This window comes from Homo sapiens, chromosome 9, assembly GCF_000001405.40.
Source record: "Homo sapiens chromosome 9, GRCh38.p14 Primary Assembly".
Lineage (NCBI taxonomy): Eukaryota > Metazoa > Chordata > Mammalia > Primates > Hominidae > Homo > Homo sapiens.
In genome coordinates, this window is record NC_000009.12 from 38900773 (window position 1) to 38921437 (window position 20665).

Below are 20665 nucleotides of genomic sequence, written 5' to 3' on the forward strand. Positions count from 1 at the left end.
GCTGTGCAAACTCCATGTATAGGGTGTCACAAAGCTTACTCTGTTGTAAATACAGCTGGGTGATAGAGAATTTCATTAGTTTGTTTCTAAAGAAATACTAGAAAACAGATTGAATTAGAAAAAATTGGAAGTGGAAAGAGGATTTTTCTAGAGTTGACATTTTTACAGGAATCTAAGCATTGGTATCTAGGGGGGAGAAAGCCCAGAGTAATAATTTATTTAACTGTTGCAAATTGGAATGATGCTAATTAGATTTCATGTGTTGCTCATGATGTTTATTGCTGAAACATCCATTACCCTGCTGATTCTGGCAGTGAAATAAACATTAGAATTTTTCAACAGCTGTAGTGTAAAATTTTAGAAATTGGACTATGAGTAGCACAATTGGGGTTTACTGTTTTGGATTACCAAAGTGTTTAGCCTTTGCCGTTCAGGGTGATTGTGTGGAAGCGGACACTGCGTGGGTGGAAGTCAAGGCAGACGCTTCCCTGTGGCGCTGGAACAAGGCGGCTGCTCTGCAGGGGGCTGTGAGCATCCCTCCTCGTGAAGCCATGGGTGGCTATTAGGTAATGCAGCAGCTGTTGCAAAAAAGAGCCAGGGTGTCCTGGTGACTGCCGCACCTTGCCCCTTGTAGGAAATGCTGCTGCCTCTGAGCAGGGCTCAGGGGCTGTGAGCAGTGATCGGCAGCAGTGGGGCTGTGCGGCCTGAGCTCCTGATTCCTCGGACCCACGTGCACACCTGGAGAACGGCGCACGCTTCACCTCCTGAGCACCAAGGCCCCTCCTTCGTGAGACTTACCCCATTCGTGTGAGCCCCGGGAAGAAGGAGGCATTTTCAGATGTTTTTAGAGAGAGGGCTCCTGGAGCGCTAATCAGAGCCGTCTATGTTTGAGGATGTTGTTACGGATGCACTCATTTTTCAGGATGAAAGTCCACGCTTTGCTCACACAGCAGTCCCTGATGGTTCTCCCTCTGTTCAGGGCCTTCATTACCATGTCTGGCACGACCTTGATGCAAATGAAACATTTCCAAGAACAAGGAGCTATAACAGAAACTCAGATGTTGCATTTATAATGATTCCCACTTCGGCTTTTTGACTTTAGAGTGCAAGGAAAAATGTGCAATTTCTTACTTGGGCAAAAACAAAACAAAATAAACAACTAATGCAAATCCATACCAGAGTCTGTTACTGTGAGGTAGAGGGCTCTTAAAGGAAACAATCTAACTCTAAAACTGGAACAAACCAGAGCAGCTGCCCTGAAGAATCAAGGTGGTTTCCACCCAAGCTCCACCTGACGCTTGTGAATGGAGAAGCCAACACCCCTGAGCACAGACCTGCTCTCAGGGAGGGATTTTACCTTCATCTGCACAAAGCACCCTGCCCCTGCATAGATCCATGGGGGCTCATTGGCACTAAATAGAAAAATAGATCCCTTCTGCCTCGTTCTGGTTCACACCCATGTAGCCACAGAGCTGGCAAGAAGAATAAAATAAAGTTTTAATCTATTCCATTCTCAATCTTACTGCATTTACATTTATTAATCAACTCCATTACTAAGTATACACTCCAACGTTTGCAAAATTCTGACTACATTATCTACTCTACAATGTCCAGAAGTTAGTTCATTAAAATCTGAATTTAAATTCTATGTCCATTTAGAAACTATTTGTATTGTATTCTTCTGTAATTGGTTAAGCTTCATGAGTATAAACGCAGGAATATGGATTTTTCAATGAACGTTAAATAATCTTGTTGATTAAATTAAAGTCAAAGTAATGTTTGCTTAGAAATTAAAGGATTATATTTCATTAGTATTTAATTTACTTAGTTTTAATTCCTGGCTTGTCATGAAGATGGCAAAAGCTGATGTGTTCCCTTGTTTCCTATACTATACTATGGAACATGGAATATGTGTGTGTGGGGGGGTGTTTGTGTGTGTGTGCACACAAACACAAGATACGTATACACATTTAAGTTTAAAAACAATTCCCTTGGATAAATACTAGGTATTCAAAGAAAACTCATTTAAAGTTTAGGCAAATCTAAGTGTACTGGATTTTTATTGCGCTTTGCTGAGTATAGTCTAGCTGTTGACTGTATACTGTTTTGTTGTGTCTGCAACAGTTTCATTTGCATGCACTTCAGTAGTTAGTTTCCTAGACAAGTAATCTCCAGATAAGTGCATCACGACCCCTCTCTCCAAAAACATCTGAAAATGCCTCATTCTTCACAGAGCCTACTAATTGTCACTTTAAATTGGAGAAGGGGGCTGAACATTGATTACACTATGGTGAGAAGGGTCAGGTCTGCCAAATGTGGGTCTCAAGGAAGTAACCTGCACATTTTCAAAAACAGCCTTCAGGAATGGCAGGCTTTGCGTGCTGGTGCACTGAATACATGGCTGGGTCCCTAAGCTGAAAGTGCCGAGGCTGCCTGGGTGGAACGCTCAGCTCTGCCACTTCTGAGTTCAGAAAATTAGGCAAATTATTTCATCTCACTTGGCTTCAGTTTTGTCATTTTAAAATTCTGAATAATGACAGCAGAACCCAATTTCTAGATTTAAAAGGCATAATTTATATAAGGTGCTATGAAATGAGTCAGCCCATAATCAGAGTTGGCTAGTTCTAACACTTACTACAATTATTACATCAACTCTCTTTCTGTGTGGTCCTGAGAGGTCACTTGTCCTGGGAGTGTGAGTTTCTTCATCTGTAGAACAGGGAGGTTGATTAGCCAATCTTAGGATTTTATGATCCTCTTCCTGTTAGACAATTGTCTGGAAATAGGGTCCTGTCCCTCCTCCTCCACACTCTCCCATGCTGTGTGCAGGCAGATGTGACCCCTAGCTGCATGAGGGCAAGCCTGGCCCCATGGCAGCATTATCCGCTTTGCCGGGGAAAGGAGGACATCACAGATGATCCCAAGCTGTGTCCTGAAGAAACACAAAACTAAAGATTTTGCATGTGCATCCAGGAGGAAGTTTCACACTGGAATCAATTCCTTGTTCCTGAGATTCCCTTCCTCATGCATCTTTTTCTGTGGGGGTAGATGATATGGTTTGGCTTCGTCCCACCCAAATCTTATTTTGAATTCCCACATGTTGCGGGAGGCACACAGTGGGAGGTAATTGAATCATGGGGGCAGGTCTTTCCCATGCTGTTCTTGTGATTGTGAAAAAGTTTCATGAGATCTGATGACTTTATAAGGAGGATTTTCCCTCCATAAACTCTCTCTCTCTCTGCCTGCTGCCATCCATGTAAGACATGACTTGCTCCTCCTTGCCTTCCACCCTGATTGTAAGGCCTCCTCAGCCACTTGTAACTATAAGTCCATTAAACCTCTTTCTTTTGTAAATTGCCCAGTCTCAGGTATGTCTTTATTAGCAGTGTGAAAATGGACTAATACAGTAGAGAATTAGTGAGAAACTCAACTGAGAAAAAAAAACCTACAGAGAAGCAGAATCCAGAGTTATTCACACAAGGCCCAGGACATGGGGCATGTGTGGCATTCTCCTGGCTGCTCTTGCTCATAGGTAGAGGTGGATGGAAACTCCACGCACATCACCCACCCCATCTCCTGCCACCTGTCCCTAAAGCCTCCCTTGCCCTCTCCCTCCCCGCCCCTCCCCATATGCAGTGCTTTCCCAGGCTCTCCGGCAGCCCTGCTCACTTCCTCAGTGGCTGGTCTGCCAGTCATCAGCTGAGAGCAGACCCTCCATTCACCTGGTTTCCTGTACTATGCTGTACCATGGAACATGCAATATATGTGTGTGTGTGTGTTTGTGTGTGTGTATGCACAAATATCAGATACCCCACACAGTTCAATTTAAAGAAGATTATTTCTTTTGATAAATACTACACATTAAAAGAAAACTCATATAAAGGGTATTCAAATTTAGGTTCACTAGATTAATTGTTATTTACCAGGTTAATTAGCTATTATAGCCTGGAACCACACAAAGGGGTCAGCATCCTGCTCCCCAACCTTCCAAGCAGGTGTGAAGGGATCCGTGGGGAGATTCCTGCCAGGTTTCCTAACTGGTGAGGTGGGGGTGGGGCGAGGGGCAGAGAACGGCTTCCCAACAGACAGCCAGGCACCTGGGGGACCGCCAGGTGGGAGTCTGTGCTCACAAAGAAGACATTCCAGGTTGGCCTCAGCAACACTCATAGCTCCCTCCCCGCAGCCTGCACACCCTCGCTCAGGACACCTGGATGTTGTAGGATTCTCTCACCAGCCACCAGCCAGGGCCTTTGTAGCTGCTTCGGGTGCTCCCGAAGCACCTACACGCTCCCACCCTGCTACAGACGCCTGCGGTTAGAAAGCCCTGGGCATCTGTTCAGCAGAGGGTCCTGCCAGGCTCCCCTCATTCAGAGGGGACAGAATTCTCCTCCTGACAGACTTTCTTTTTTTTTCCTTTTTGGGAGGGAGTCTCCCTCTGTCTCCCAGGCTGGAGTGCAGTGGCGCGATCTCGGCTCACTGCAAGCTCCGCCTCCCGGGTTCAGGCCATTCTCCTGCCTCAGCCTCCTGAGTAGCTGGGACTACAGGTGCCCGCCACCACGCCCGGCTAATTTTTTGTAATTTTTAGTAGAGACGGGGTTTCACCATGTTAGCCAGGATGGTCTCGATCTCCTGATCTCGTGATCCGCTCGCCTCGGCCTCCCAAAGTGCTGGGATTACAGGTGTGAGCCACCGTGCCCAGCCGACAGATTTTGTTTCTATCATCATGTGGGGAGCGAACATGGATCTCTTCCTGCCTGAAGTGGGCACGACGATATTGACCCTTTGTGGGATTCCAGGCCTTTCAGCGACTCCTGAACCCAGAGGAAGGAAGCCAGGGAAAGGAATGCTATGGGGAGAGGGTGGAGAAGGCAGAGAGCAAAGGCAGGCTGTAGGGACAGGTGGTCAGGTGAAAGCCCAAACCATGCAGCGGTGAGTGGACGTTAGGGACTAGAAATAGTGCTCTCAGGGTTCACTGTGCCATGGGGAGGTGTGTATTTCACCATACCCTGTGCCCGAGAGGCTACAGAGCGGGTCCGTTCAGCTGTCCTTGTACCCACATGGGACCCCCACCACTGCAACACCAGAGGCCCGGGGCCTGCCCTCCTTGTTTGGAGGTTCTCATTTCCCCAGGATCTTGGTGAGTTTTCTTGGGCCACAGTTAATACCCTCAGAACTCTTGTCCTCACCTTCTCTCCAGCAGTTTCGTCGGACTGACAACGGTGAGTGCCTTAGGATGCACCTCAGAACCCCTTCCCCGCGGGAGGATCTGAGCGCCTCCAGCCTTCGCTCACTGCCTCTATAGCCCTGAACTCCACTTTTATCTCCCCAGACCTAGGAAACTGTCAACAGTTTCTAAGCATTCTGCTCGGTCTCTCTGACCTTCAATACTGAACAAGCAGCAAATACGTGCAGGGAGAACGCTGACCCAATTCAACGCATTTCCCTTCTCCCTGGATTCTTGGCCCTTCCATTCCTGGCCTTTGTGATCACTCTCTGACACCGGCAAGTAGCTGCTTTTTGTTTTTTATCTGGCATTTATATTTATTTTTCGTGGTGGTGGTGAGGGGGCTTCTTGGTGCGATAAAGATGTTTCTGACCTCTGAAAACTGCACAAGAATGTGAAGAGCTGCGGGTCTAACTTCTCACCAAGCAGCTGCAGGACTCCTGTTATCTCTAATAGGGGACGTTTGACACTCACAGGAAGAATTAACTCATTCTTACAGACCGAGCCTGATTTTTTAAAAATCAGTTTTTAGGCCGGGCATGGTGGCTCACGCCTGTAATCCCAGCACTTTGGGAGGCCGAGGCGAGCGAATCACGAGGTCAGGAAATCGAGACCATCCTGGCTAACACGATGAAATCCCGTCTCTACTAAAAATACCAAAAAAATTAGCCAGGCGTGGTGGCGGGTGCCTGTAGTCCCAGCTACTTGGGAGGCTGAGGCAGGAGAATGGCGTGAACCCAGGAGGCGGAGCTTGCAGTGAGCTGAGATTGCACCACTGCACTCCAGCCTGGGCGACAGATCCAGACACCGTCTCAAAAAAATAAAATAAAATAAAATAAATAAAAAATAATAATAGTAATAATAATAATAATAATAAATAAAAATCAGTTTTTAAAAAAATCAAAGTAAAATTTACCCAACATAAAATTAACCATTTTAACATGTACAGTTCAGTGGCATTTACTACATTCATGGTGCTGGGCAACCATTACCTCTATTTAGTTCCAAAACATGGTTATCAGCTTACAAGGAAACTCCATACACATAAAGCCATCGCTCCCTTTGCCTCTTCCTCAGCCTTGGGAAACCACTAGCCTGCCCCTTGTCTCTATGCATTTACCTATTCTGCATATTTCATGTAAAGGGGCCATACAGTACCTGGCTTTTTCATAAAACATCATGTTTCTGAGGTTCATCTACATTGTATCAGTACTTCATTCTTTTGTTTTTATTTTTTTTTATTATTATTATTATTATTATTATTTTGGAGACAGAGTCTTACTTTGTTGCCCAGGCTGGAGTGCAGTGGCGTGATCTCAGCTCACTGCAACTTCCACCTCCCAGGTTCAAGCGATCCTCCTGCCTCAGCCTCCCTAGTAGCTGGGAATACAGGTACACACCACTGCGCCCAGCTAATTTTTTTTTGTATTTTTGGTACAGACGACGTATGGCCATGTTGGCCTGGCTGGTCTGGAACGCCTGACCTTAGGTGGTCCAGCCACCTCGGCTTCCCAATGTGCTGGGAATACAGGTGTGAGCCACTGCACCTGGCCCAACACTTCATTCTTTTTAAATGACTGAAGAATATTTCATTTTGCCAATGTACCACACTTTGTTCACTTATTCATCAGTGGATAAGTTTGGGTTGTTTCCACCTTTTGGCTATTGTGAATAGTATAATCAGTATAACTTTTACATCCACATGTATAACGATTATATGTTAGGTGAATGTCAGTCTCTGATACAAACAACTGGAGCTTATTTTCATGCACAACCCATTCTTATTACAAAAGTTCTTGAGAGGGCTGAGCGCGGTGGCTCACACCTGTAATCCCAGCACTTTGGGAGGCTGAGGCAGGCAGATCACTTGAGGTCAGGAGATCGAGACCAGTCTGGCCAACATGATAAAACCCCATTTCTACTAAAAATAGAAAAAATTAGCTAGGCATGGTGGTGGGTGCCTGTAATCCAAACTACTCCAGAGATGGAGGCAGGATAATTGCTTGAACCTAGGAAGCAGCGGTTGCAGTGAGCCAAGATCGTGCCACTGCTCTCCAGCCTGGGTGACAGAGCGAGACTTTGTCTCAAAAAAATAAACAAAACAAACAAAAACAACAAAAAACTACAAAGTTCTGGATGGTGTATCCACATCGCTCAGGGAGGGACAGGACTTTGTCTTCTCTCTGATGCACTCTGGGCCCCAAAAGCAGCAGAGAGGGTGATGCTGGGTCTGAGGCCCAGGTCCAGATCCCACCCTCCCTGCAGCTCATGAAAACAGGGAGTCAGCCATCACACCCTCCAGCCCTGTGTGTGCCTCGTTCCTATGGACATCCTAGAAGCTCAGCCCTGTGACATTGAAGAAAGTCCTCAGACTGCACAGTGGGTTGGTGCTCAGCACCCTTTATTTATCACTGGAGATAGGCAATTACATTTCTGCTTGTGGGAAAAAACGAATGACAGCAGGACTGGGGGCCTACAAATGCTTGAGGAAGTAAACCCTCTCTGTCCACAAAGGCTTCACTGTACTTTTCTAGCCTTTCTATTCAATTCTTCACCTTAGGAATTTGAAAATGTAATAGTCTATCTCATGGTAATTTCTGAAACAGTTGTCTTCATCTTTTAGAGATAAATATGCAGGATCATGATCAAAACATCTCCTGAGGCCTCCTTGGTGCCATGCATTATACTGATGACATGGAATAATCCATTTAATCCTCACCACAGCCCTGTGCGGGAGGTCCTGTTTTGATTCTGATTTACAGGTGAGAACACTGAGGCACTGAAAGACAGACACAGAGGGAGCCGGGCTAGTACGCAGCAGAGCTGGACTTAAACGCAGACTGCCTGGCTCCTGGTTCCCTGCTTGCAACTGTTAGCAGCCATCTGCTCATGTGGCTATCAAAAATGAGTTCTCAAACAATATTTGGCATCCAATTTCCAATCCCCATTTTATAATTTTGCATGAAAAAAATTTATGTTACTATGATGAATTACTGAGATGAAGTTCTGATGCACTTTGTTCATGTTTAATTGCTTTGGAAACTGACTTTTTAAGCACCTGGAAGGAATCAGTGTCAAGTTAGTTTTGAAATGAACAGATACTGCCTCTTCTGATGAATCAGGAATAATCACCAGGTAGGAGTGTAATCTCACTGCAACTTGTTTGAGTGGTTCACGGACTTTACATCCTAATTTGGATCCTAATTTGCATCCTACCTTTAAAGTTCTGGAATGTCAATGGACAGCTGCATGAATAATTTTGTTTACAAATTAAGATGCAAATATTGGAAGAGAGAATAAAGCTATTCTGGAGTATATGTCAGGAGTGGGCACTGTTTTCTCAACTGTAAATTTTCACCACTTTCTTTTTAATTTGCTGTTCGATTTGTTTTACAGTTTTCTTGTCTTTCTTCATAGACTTGATGGGTTAAAATAATAAAATAATAAAAAACATTAGCATCTGAGAAACTAGAATTTTAATTGTGTGATTCTTTAGGATGGTGTCTCAAACAGCTTTTCTTACAGTTTTAAGTTTGGTCTACATAATAGAAGTATTTTAAAACATCAAGCAAGTCATAGTTGTTTTGGCTTACTGCTTATTCAATTAAAAAGAAATAGAAAGACTAACAGTGCTTATTGGTTTCCAAACCACCAACCCCCATTTAAAAAAATATCAATCTTCATATTTCCCTGAGTCAATTTTTTCTTTTAACCATTAGTATGAGCTAATCCTTATTCAGCATAAAACTAGGCATTATGTTAAGAACTTGCATTTCATAGTCACCACAAAATGGCCTAAAATTAGTATTTATTCCATTTTGTAAATGAGCAACCTGAGGTGTAAAAAGATGCAATAACCTGCCCAAGGTCCTTCAGCTAGCGCATTTTAGACCTGGGATTTTACACTGGGTTGCCAGAACTAGAGGCCTAGCGACCTTCCAAGCCCATCTCCTTACCTCCCGGGCCTCAGTTTGGCTATTCCTTGTCTTTAGAACAAATAAGAGCATTCTATAACTAAATAATTAGCAAAACAAGTCTTTTTCTTGGAAAATGCCTTTTAACCTACTATTAATCCACTTGTTAAATTTTTACTACATTCAAGGCAAAGAAGTGTAAAATATAATCCCTGCCCTCAAGGAGCTTACAGGGATTGCAATGAGAAGTTGTAACATAATGGGAAAACTATGTCAAATGGTAGTTCGAACACTGCAACACAGTTCTGATGCTTACCACCTGGAGTTAGCTACAGGTGCCACAGATTTAAGGGACTGACCTTCCTTCAGACACCAGCCATACTTCTGGTGTCCCCAGTCCTCTTGCACTGCTGAACAACTGGCTAGAAATGTGGGCATCACCATGACCCTTTCGAGTTTGATAATTTGCTAGAACAACTCAAAGGACTCAGGAAATACTTATGCTTAGTTTTATTATAAGTAATAAAAATTGGGACCTGCCAAGGAAGAAACACATCTGGCAAAGTCTGGGAGGGTCCACACACAGAGACTCCATGCCCCTCCGTGCGGAATCTGAACCTGTCATCCTCTCAGGATATCCACATGTTTACCAGCCAGGAAGCTTCCCTGAGCTTCGGCGCCCCCAGTTGTTACTGAGACTGTGTCACAAAGGCAGGATTGACTTAATCATTGGCCACATATTTTAACTGAATCTCTAGCCCCACCCCTCAGAGATTGGAGGTCAAACTTAACATCTGGTGTCTCAAAGCCCGACTCTCCAATCACTTGGCTGCTCTTTTTGGCACAGCTTACCTTTTTCTTAAGCACAAATTCAGGTGTGATCCGAGGAGCACATGAATAACAATGACACTCCTATTACTCAGGAATTCCCAAGAGTTTGAGAGTCTTCCAGGGGCCAGGGACAAAGGCCAGTCTAATTCTTCATTACACAACAGGCGACCCTGTGGCTTTTGACTATGGTTCTTTTATATGTCTAAAATGTGGAGGAGCTACTGTAGAGTACGAATAAAAAGCTTTTAACTCAATTTCCCAGTATATTTGACTGTCATTACCAGTATTATAATTTTACCGATTATGCCAGTGTTTGACCATATTTCAATATGGTAAAATAATCTGAAAAATAAGAGTAACAAATATTGACATATTACTAGAATCTCATTCAGTCATTAATAATTAGTACAGCCCATCATCATATGGTGTAACCAAAATGTCTCCCAGGGTGACATCACTCACGTTCGCAGCTTCTGTTCAATTCTCTCAAGTTCCACAAGCAGGAGTGCTTTCAGCAATATATGGCTTCACTCTTTCCAGCATCTGGAATCGCTGAGCTAAGAGACAATATCATCTCTTGCCTTCAGCCCCTCTTAAAGTATTAATATAATATTGAATTTTCCTCATTGTGTAACCCAGACATTCATTGTTATAATCTACTAGTGTTTCTTCTTCTCACCAGTTATGAGTTTCTAAGCTTTTCCACATTTAGAAAGCACATTAGGTTCAGCCATTGTGCTGGTCTAGATTCCTGGCAGCAATACAAGTTTAGCGAGTGCCTTCCACTCAGTGGACTCCCATTCATATAGGATGAGGTACAGAACTAGGGGGCGTGTCAACCACTAAGCAATACATCTGCATTTCCTGTCAACCTCAGTCTTGCCAGATGGGGTAAAGACACAATCTACCCCATCTGGTCCTTAGGAAGCACAGTTACAGCTTTTACTTAGGAATTATCCCTCCTTCTGGTATTTTGCAGCCCTGGGCCCGAGACCACCATAGCAGGTAGGTAAAAGAAATTTGAGGTGATGTGGGGAAGAAAGAAAGCTGTAATCACAACTCCTTTGTAAGAAGAATTGTATACTCATCACAACATTTGCCCTACCTCTTCCTTAGGACCCTCAGAAAAGTGGAGGAATCTATCTAGTGGGACCACCCGCTTGGCGCCCTCATTTTGAATGTGAGCACACACTCAAGAAAACATATAAGGCGGCCCTTCATGCCTATTTTTATCCCTATTTTAGATGACCAAATTTTTTATTTTATTTTATTTTACTTTTTTTTGAGATGGAGTTTTGTTCTTGTTACCCAGGCTGGAGTGCAACGGCACGATCTTGGCTCACTGCAACATCTGCCTCCCAGGTTCAAGCGATTCTCCTGCCTCAGCCTCCGGAGTAGCTGGGATTACAAGCATGTGCCACCACACCTAGCTAATTTTTTTTTTTTTTTTTTTGAGATAGAGTCTCACTCTGTTGCCCAGGCTGAAGTGCAGAGTGGCTCGATCTCGGCTCACTGCAAGCTCCACCTCCCGGGTTCATACCATTCTCCTGCCTCAATGTCCGGAGTAGCTGGGACTTCAGGTGCCCGCCACCACGCCTGGCTAATTTTTTTGTATTTTTGGTAGAGACGGGGTTTCACTGTGTTAGCCAGGATGGTTTCGATCTCTTGACCTCGTGATCCGCCCGCCTCTGCCTCCCAAAATGCTGGGATTACAGGCTTGAGCCACTGTGCCCAGCCCTAATTTTGTATTTTTCGTAGAGACGGGGTTTCTCCATGTTGGTCAGGCTGGTCTCGAACTCCCGACCTCAGGTGATCCGCCTGCTTTGGCCTCCCAAAGTACCAGGATTATAGGCATGAGCCACCGCACCCAGCCGATGACCAATGTTTTAATTGTCCATTTCAATTCTCTATCAAACCATTACTGTTAGGACAAAAGTGTTTCCTGAACTAAGAAAATATGACTTGTTCATTCAAATTGGTGCAGAATAATCTGTTCCGTTGTCTCTGATCATTTGCATCTGTTTCTGGGTAAGCAAAGCCAAGTCTCGAGCAAGTGTCTAGTCCTGTCTATACCCCTTCGTCCACCCCCCAGGACTAATGTCATCCATTCGGCTTACAGGGCCTTCCTCCCAGCTTCTCTGCTCCATAGCCATCTATAGTCTGTGTCTCTCTTGTTAACAAAAAGAAGAATCTTTACGAGCATTTTGTGCCTCAGAAGGTACAAAGGAATAAATGTAATTCAGCCCATCTCTGGGCTGCTGCAGCCTCACAATATTCACTCATTACGTGAACCCAGTGGCCATCTCAAGCGAGCACACCAGGATATCCTCTTGCTGGCTCCAAGTACCTCCTAATCCTAGAAGGGGGGTTTCTGATAGGCATTGGCATGTCCCACTTCAATGCACCCCTCAAATTCCTGTAATCATTTCCACAAGGCAAGCCCTCCATAGGCCAGTTTTCCATTGCCCTCTGCATAACCCCCAGGTGGTCCCAAAGTCCATCCTAGGGGAAAAAGAGTCGCTCTGCCTGTGAACACGCTGGATAAATTTACATTGACCTGTGCTATGATCTGGATGTCCCTTGAAGTTCATATGTTGACATTTAATCCCCATTGTGGTGGTATTAAGAGGTGGGACCTTTTAGAAAGTGGCTAAGTCATGAGAGCTTTGTCCTCAAGAATGGACTAGCATCTTATAAAAGGGCTGGGTGTCTAGGCACAGTGGCTCACACCTGTAATCCCAGCACTTTAGGAGGCCGAGGCGGGCGGATCACAAGGTCAGGGGATGGAGACCAACCTGGCTAACACAGTGAAACCCTGTCTCTACAAAAATACAAAAAAATTAGCCAGGCATGGTGGTGGGTGCCTGTAGTCCCAGCTACTTGGGAGGCTGAGGCAGGAGAATGGTGTGAACCCAGGAGGCGAAGCTTGCAGTGAGCCAAAATCATGTCACTGCACTCCGGCCTGGGCAACAGAGTGAGACTCAAAAACAAAACAGAACAAAAAGGACTGGGGGGATCTAGCTGAGGCCTTTGGTCTTTCACCTTCTGCCATGTGTGGACACCTAGATGCCACCAACTATGAGGAATGGGTCCTCACCAGGCACAAACTCCACTAGCCTTGATCTTAGACTTCCTGGTCCACAGAACTGTGAAAAATCATTTCCACGAGGCAAAGCCGCAAAGGCCCGTTCTGTTCTTTATAAATTACCCAGTCTCAGGTAGTTTGTTATAGCAGCAGAAAGGGACTAAAACACCCTGGTAGCATGTCCCCATAAACAAATTCCATTTGACTACGAAAATTTTCTGTTTATTGTCCTTCCTATTAAAGCCTTTCTTCACTATCACTCAAGCCATGATCATATTTTAGGTTTCAAGATTAATTTGTGTCCTTCAGTTATAGAGTCCATTTCAATTAAAGTCTGATCACAAGCTAGTAATTGCCACTCAAACGGCAAGGGGTTCAGCTATGGGACTCTGGCCCCTCCATAAACTTTATCTTGATTAATCTGCCTGACCATTGTCCAGGTGATTCCAGGCTGGGTTCCTCATTGGAATCTTTGTTTTCTGGCCTTTAAAATTACTCCAAACTGACACAAATAGACTTGTGTAGGGCCCTGTAATGGGGAAACCGGCCAAAGGGGGATCAGCAATGGTTCCTGTTGGTCCCTGCAACCTTCCATAGCACTGCATTCAGACCTTTGTTTCAACACCATTAACGTTTACTTTATTTATTCAATTTGTTAATAGTCATCTAAAGTTTTCCACCCTGCTAAAATGAATCTCTTGATTCTCTTCTCTCTCCATTTTCTTGTTAATTATGTTTTGTTGTTGTTGTGTGTATCTCTAAGACACATAAGGGGAAGCAGAGATAGCAAATCCATAGGGCTCTTTGGACTGTTGCTTGATTTTGCAGCAGTAAAGCTACACTGAGTGATTATACAAAGGGGGCCCCTTAACCATAGCATTAACCATGCCCTGCATAAGGGAAACAAACAGTGGATGAATATCCTGAGCATCATAAAGCCAAGCCAGCATGGCTTGCACACAAAACATACCAGCCCCTTCACCTGGGATGTTCCAATGGGCATTTATAGGGGAAATAGGATAGTCCTCCTCAGGGTAAACAACTTTATACTGTCTTTTATTTAGCCTAGTAGGCTAATTGATCCCTAGGGAATAACCTGCTATGTGTCTGAATCATGTGTGGTGATCTATGATTGTTCCATAGTGAGCTGTGGATCTTGTATCAACCCAAACATGCTTTTCTATTCTGCAGTATTCAAAAACCAAAGAAACTTGACTCTGAATTAATTACTCCTACATTTATTTCAGTAAAGGTTCTTCCATAAACTGTTGATATAACTTCGTCATGCTGCACCCCTGGTTTCAGTAGTTTCTTGATTTTTCCTGTCTTACCTGGACTCTCTTTTCGATGACCAGATGTTTCAGAGCATATTCCAGCATATTTTTTCCCTTCGAGGATGGCTTTGAGACTAGTGGCCATATCTCAGACTGACCAAAATCTGAGGTTGGTGTCAGCACCCTTTTTTTCTCTCAGTTTAGCTATTATAACAAGAACCAAGGGATTATATATTTCACTTTTTCCTTTTTTTTTTTTTTTTTTGCACTTCCCTGTACATCCAATAGATCAACTCTTTAGAAGCTGGTCTATCACTATTTCTGAATTCCATTGGCTGGGTCTATCACTGTTTCTCAATTCCATTGGCTGGGTCTATCACTATTTCCGAATTCCATGGGTGGCTTTTACCTTTAGAAACTGATCACAACGCAGATGCAATTTTATATCGGGGTGACCCTGTGGCCCCCCAGAAATCAAAGTTTCCTCATTGTTGGCCTTTTAATTTAATTCTTCCTCTTTCCAAACCCATTGTTTCAGGGTTGTTCTAGTGAGTCTCACATTTTCTGGCACAAATGGTAAGGAGAAGTAAACATTTCTCTATGGAGAAATCACTATGGGGGCATAAAAGCCAGCTTCCTGGAGAAGTAGCATTTAACCCGGGATTTGCAGCATTCCATCTACATAAATGTGAGGAAAGATCCCTTTAGGTATGAGCTAAAGGGTCAGGACTAGCAGATAAGAAGCATATGTGAAGGCCCGTACAGAGGGATATTTGGCTGTGGGTAGCAGCAGGCAGTAGATGTGACTGGGAGGATGTCAGGGGAAGGGGAGCACGTGGAAGATGACATTGAATAACATTGAAAAGAAATACATTTTAAAATTTACTCAAGGGAACATGGTATTAAATCAAGTTTCATCTAAAGCTGCCTCCTTACATATTTAAGTTTGGCCTAAAGGTTTTTCTGTACATTGTGAACTGTAACAAGTGAAGTGTAAGCAGAATGTAGCCTACCCTAGTGCCAATCACCGAGTTTTGGCCAATCAAATGTAGCCAACTGTTCGAGCCATGTTCAAATAAGGTAAATGCCAAGCTGTAACCAATCCAGCTGTTTCTGTGCCTCACTTCCATTTTCTGTACTTCACTTTCCTTTTTCTGTCCATAAATCTTCTTCCAACATGTGGCTGAGCTGGAGTCTGGGAGCCTAGTCTGGCTGGGAAGGCTGCCTAATTTTGAGAATCATTCATTGCTCAATTAAACTCCTTCAAATTTAATTTGGCTGAAGTTTTTCTTTTACTAGTGGGGAGCCATTGAATAATTTTATCTGGGGGAAAGGCATGATAGGAAAATCTCTTTCAAAATAAAATGAGTGCTAGCTCGCTGCTAACCACATGTTTACTGAGGTTCATCACTCTGCACACCTGCTCCTCTGGGTTTCCTCACTACTCTCAGAATTCCAGCCCTTACCCGACATGCTGGGGCCACCAACTTACTCGTTTGCCTGTTCTCTTCGACACTGAGGTCATCAAATACTATGTAAGATTCAAGCTTTGTAACCTCAATGCTTCTACCCATTTTGATACTAGATATATATTTATCACATGATTATATTAAATATAGACCAAGACCCTAAAACATTCCTAACCCTAAGATACTCCATGTTTGGGTAAATAGCGTCCAAAAATACCACTAGCTGTCCTAAGGTATAGCAGGAGAAAAATACAATGCATCAAAGGGAAAAGCTGTACTGAAGGAGAGAAATAGGAAAGAGGGAAATCAGAAAAATAAAAGATGAAGAGAGACTTTTGCTTAATGTGGATGGGTTACGTCATTGTGGAGGCTAAGGGGTAACAGATATTGTATGGTGGTGTACATGCCATAGGTTGTGCACACATAACCACCCATCATATTTAGACATAGCATCCATCTGGGAGTCTCACCATACGATAGGCTCAGAGTCTGATCCATATTGCAGGAGAGTCGGAACAGCACACAGCAAGACATGAGGAGGAAGACCCATGACCATTTAGTCACCCGTCATTCTTCAAATGGATACAGTACTTCTAAAACACTAACACTCTTTTTATGGTATATCCATGATTGTAAATTAAGGCCAATAATGGCCGGGCGCGGTGGCTCACACCTGTAATCCCAGCACTTTGGGAGGCCAAGGCGGGTGGATCACAAGGTCAGGAGATCAAGACCATCCTGGCTAACACAGTGAAACCCTGTCTCTACTAAAAATACAAAAACAAAATTAGCCGGGCGTGCTGGCGGGTGCCTGTAGTCCCAGCTTCTCACGAGGCTGAGGCGGGAGAATGGCATGAACCCAGGAGAAGGAGCTTGCAGGGAGCTGAGATCGTGCCACTGCACTCCAGCCTGGGCGACAGAGCGAGACTATGTCTCAAATAATAATAATAATAATAATAATAATAATAATTCTTAGCTTATCCCAAATAAATCCTGATTTAACTTAATTGTATCTTTCTTGAAATTCTATTAAGAGTAATAAGACATTCAATGATGTATTAAACGATAATAACAGTTGACATTTATAAAGTGTTAACCACAAATATTGATTCATTTATACACAAAATGATTATTGAGTGCCTAAAGTCACTGGGCTGTGCCCTAAGTAAATAAGAATGAGACAGTGCTGCCTCATGTTCTAGTCTTTCCTCTGCCAATTTTATACTCCTTTGTTCTAATGTGCACAGGCAACCCGAAAGTCAGCTAATTCTACAAAAATTTAAAAGAAACAAACTAACTTGAGGTTCTAAATAACTTATTCAAGTCCTGGCAGTCGGGATTTGATCATATAACTCTTGTCTCTATTTCTCAGACTGCAAAAACTAATAGGTCGTGGCAAATAATGTATATAAGTTTTGTTAATGAATGGAAAACATTAGGAAGTTAAATATCTGGATACACATATTTTCTAGGCCAACGTTTCTCCTGCTAAATAATCCTACCTTCAGTCACGGTTGATTTTAAACTGCAGCCAAAAGAACCAAGGGTGATTGTGGCTGTCATTACTGAATAAATGTCATGGGGTTAGCAGGGAGAGAAAGAGAGAGAGAGAAAGAGACAGAGACAGAGAGAGGGAGATTACAGAATGGGGTACTAATAGTTTGTAACAGTTTTTAAACAATCCTGTTGTAGATTAATGATAGGGTATCAGACAGTAGAGGTAAACTTTGTAGCATATTGCATTTCTGATCAATGCCTACAAATTGATTTTTTTACAAAACTCCTCTGTTACACATGTAAGCGTCACAAGGAGCCTGAGTTTCTTTTGTTACAGATTTAAACAATATTCTAGCATAACCCTGAGAAAGTAAATAATATTTGTGATAATTAATGGATTTTCTAGAAAACTAAATGGTGATGGTGAACTGCCAGGATCCCAAGGAAAAGGAATAGCTCTAGCAAAAAGGATCTGTAGAAAAGAGGAAAGCCTGGTACGCCCTTCTGTCCCCATCTTATCCATAGGCTGACCAAGATAACACCTTGAATGTCACATTTACAAGCAAGTATTTTCTGGCCCGATAGCATCAAGCATAAAGTCAATCCATCATTTGTCCTAAAGGAACAGGAACATTTGTTTACACTGGAGGAGTCACAAGTCTGAGGAGATTTTTCGATCAGAAATAACCTATCCTTAGACTGAGGTTGGTGAAGGAAGGCAGAAGTCTACGCTGTGTTTTTCTGATTGAACTTTGCACACAGAAGAGTCTTTTGAAATAAGCACTTCGATGTCAACAGCAGTTAATTCAGCAGGCACATGCTGTGGATTAGGGAGAACTAAGATAGGTGATTCTAACTGCTGCAACAGATGTTCTGGGAATATCAGAACCATTGGACTTCAGTGTCAAAGTGAAGCCAGGGACCATGGGAGAATCCTGGTGCCCCCAAAATCACAGAACGTCTTTTGATTCACTTCACTCTGGCCTTTCAGGGTGTTTCTCTACCCTATCGTGCCTCGATTAAGCCACATATTGGTTGAGTCACCTTCCCTCCAATCCCCAAATGTAGCTGCCCAAATCAGATACCGTCACAGGTCATGGATGATAAGCATTTTAATGCATGCATCAGTGTATGTCCTGTTTCTGTTACACTGAAGTACTTAAACAACAGTCATTGTGTTCTCTGCTGATGTGGATAGACTCTTACCTGGTCATAAATGTGTCCTTTATAATTGCTGTTACCTGAGGGCTTTCCATGAAGGCAACTTCAGCAATTAAAGTTACTTAGGTAGCAATCTCGGTTAAAGTGTGATGAACATTTAATTTAGAACAGTGTAGCTTCTTGGTTAGTTTGTGTTGATCTCCAACCTGGTATGTCAACTTGTTTCTCAGTGAGATGGAGAGGTTGAGAGTGCTGCCAAGAGGATGTTAACTATTTTATATGGTATCGTTCTACAAGGTTTGCAGCTACGTACTGAGGTAAAACAGCGTGAACACAGACAATTAAATAAAAGCATAAGAAAATGAAAATATATTTCCAAGATAGGAGGGCAAGTTGAGTGGGAACAATATGCAGCCACTGCCTGAAGGCGTTTGAAGAATGGGAATGGCGAGTCCTGGAAGATTTCCTGGGCCAACAACCTGAAGATTGCACCGCTGCGCAGAGCGCTCCTGGCCTCTGAAGCAGATGTTCTGGAGGCTGCTCTAGTAGTGGACAGACAGGTAAGGATGGTTTAAGCCAGCTTCCTGGAAAGTTCCAGGTCCAGCTTCTAAACGCTCTTCCCAAATTGATAATTCAAAGAGAGTCTGTAGAAACATTTAGGATTTAGGGAAACTACCGTCTGCGTTTATTTTTCTTCCCACAAACTTTTAATAAGCAGCAACTATATTGGCCTGTTCCTGGTGGGGAAATAGGAAGGAAGGGGGAAAATGATGTCATAAGACACTGGCTGTGTGTCTCAGTTCCCTTGTGATTATTTTTGAGATGGAAACGACTGACTCAAGGGCAGAGGACAGGAGGCCCTCAAGCACTACAGTTTGCTGATTGGAAGTGATCAGCATTACAAACCCGGTGCAAGGGCAACGGTGGGTCAGAGATGTGGGCTGAAGAGTCCTGGAAACAGAGGTCCTGGGCAGGGAAATCCGATATGGGGCTTTGAGTAACCTCATGGGCATCTATGAAGAGACAGACAAAAATTAGTCTGTCCAGAGGAAGCGATGACTGATGGCATTTCTACCTGCACGCAGTCTGGAAAAGAGTCGGCCCCACCCTGAGTCTTCCCACTCATCTCCTCTCACACATCAATCACCCTGTGTCCTAACCACGACAGCTGCTAAATCTTTAACTTAAGGGGGAAAAGATTTGTTTTTAACTTAAGGAAGGAAAGTATTGTTTAAAATATGAGATGAAAGGAGGAATGACTATTCACTCTTCCTCTCCTAAAGACTTAGCCATTTTAGGCTGGGCACGGTGGCTCACGCCTGTAATCCTAGCACTTTGAGAGGCCGAGGCAGGCGGATCATAAGGTCAGGAGATCGAGACCATCCTGGCTAACACAGTGAAACCCCGTCTCTACTAAAAATACAAAAACAAAATTAGCCAGGCATGGTGGTGGGTGCCTGTAGTCCCAGCTACTTGGGAGGCTGAGGTGGGAGAATGGTGGGAACTTGGGAGGCAGAGGTTGAAGTGAGCTGAGATCACGCCATTGCACTCCAGCCTGGGTGAAAGAGCGAGACTCTGTCTCAAAAAAAAAAAAAAAAAAAAAAAAGATACACAATTTAGGTTAGAGAGGAGGAATAAGTTCAAGAGATCTCTTGTACAACATGGTGACTATATTATAGTTAATATAAAAAATTATACTGATGAAAATTGCCAAGACAGTAGATTTTAAGTCTTCTCACCACAGAAAAGTATGTGATGTAATGCATATGTCAATTAGCTCAATTTAGCCATTTCAAAATGTATACATATTCCAATACCACATGTCTTACATGATAAATGTATGCAATTTTTATTTGGCAATAAATAAGCAGAAATATTCAAAAATGAATGAACTATTTTGTATTACGAAAGGTCTGTATCCAAACAATCTATAGTTGGTTATTTGAAAAAACAAACAAAACTCCCCTAAAATATCAGAATTTCATTGCTTTTAAGATAGAGATTGGATATTTTATCAAATATTTTATGATTATATTTTACTCACTCATGGCCTGATTCCTCAGAACATACAGTCAGCTAAATTGCCAATGACTTAAACATTTGAAGTTAGGTTTGTTTTTGGTTGTTGTTGTTCATGCTGCAGGGCATAAATTCCTGTGTAATGTGTGCTCACGTATTCAGCTTTGCTTTCAGATTAAATGGAGCACTTC

At 43.3% G+C, this 20665-nt stretch overlaps 1 long non-coding RNA gene across 1 annotated transcript; it reads right to left on the minus strand.

Annotated features, from left to right (window-relative positions):
- Positions 1 to 388: 388 nt before the first annotated feature.
- On the minus strand, positions 389 to 2781 carry LOC105376044 (uncharacterized). Its single transcript, XR_929609.2, has 4 exons — positions 2636 to 2781; positions 1358 to 1472; positions 799 to 1006; positions 389 to 578 (listed from the first exon to the last, which is right to left on the minus strand). It is a non-coding gene; the product is annotated as an uncharacterized LOC105376044 (long non-coding RNA).
- Positions 2782 to 20665: the final 17884 nt, after the last annotated feature.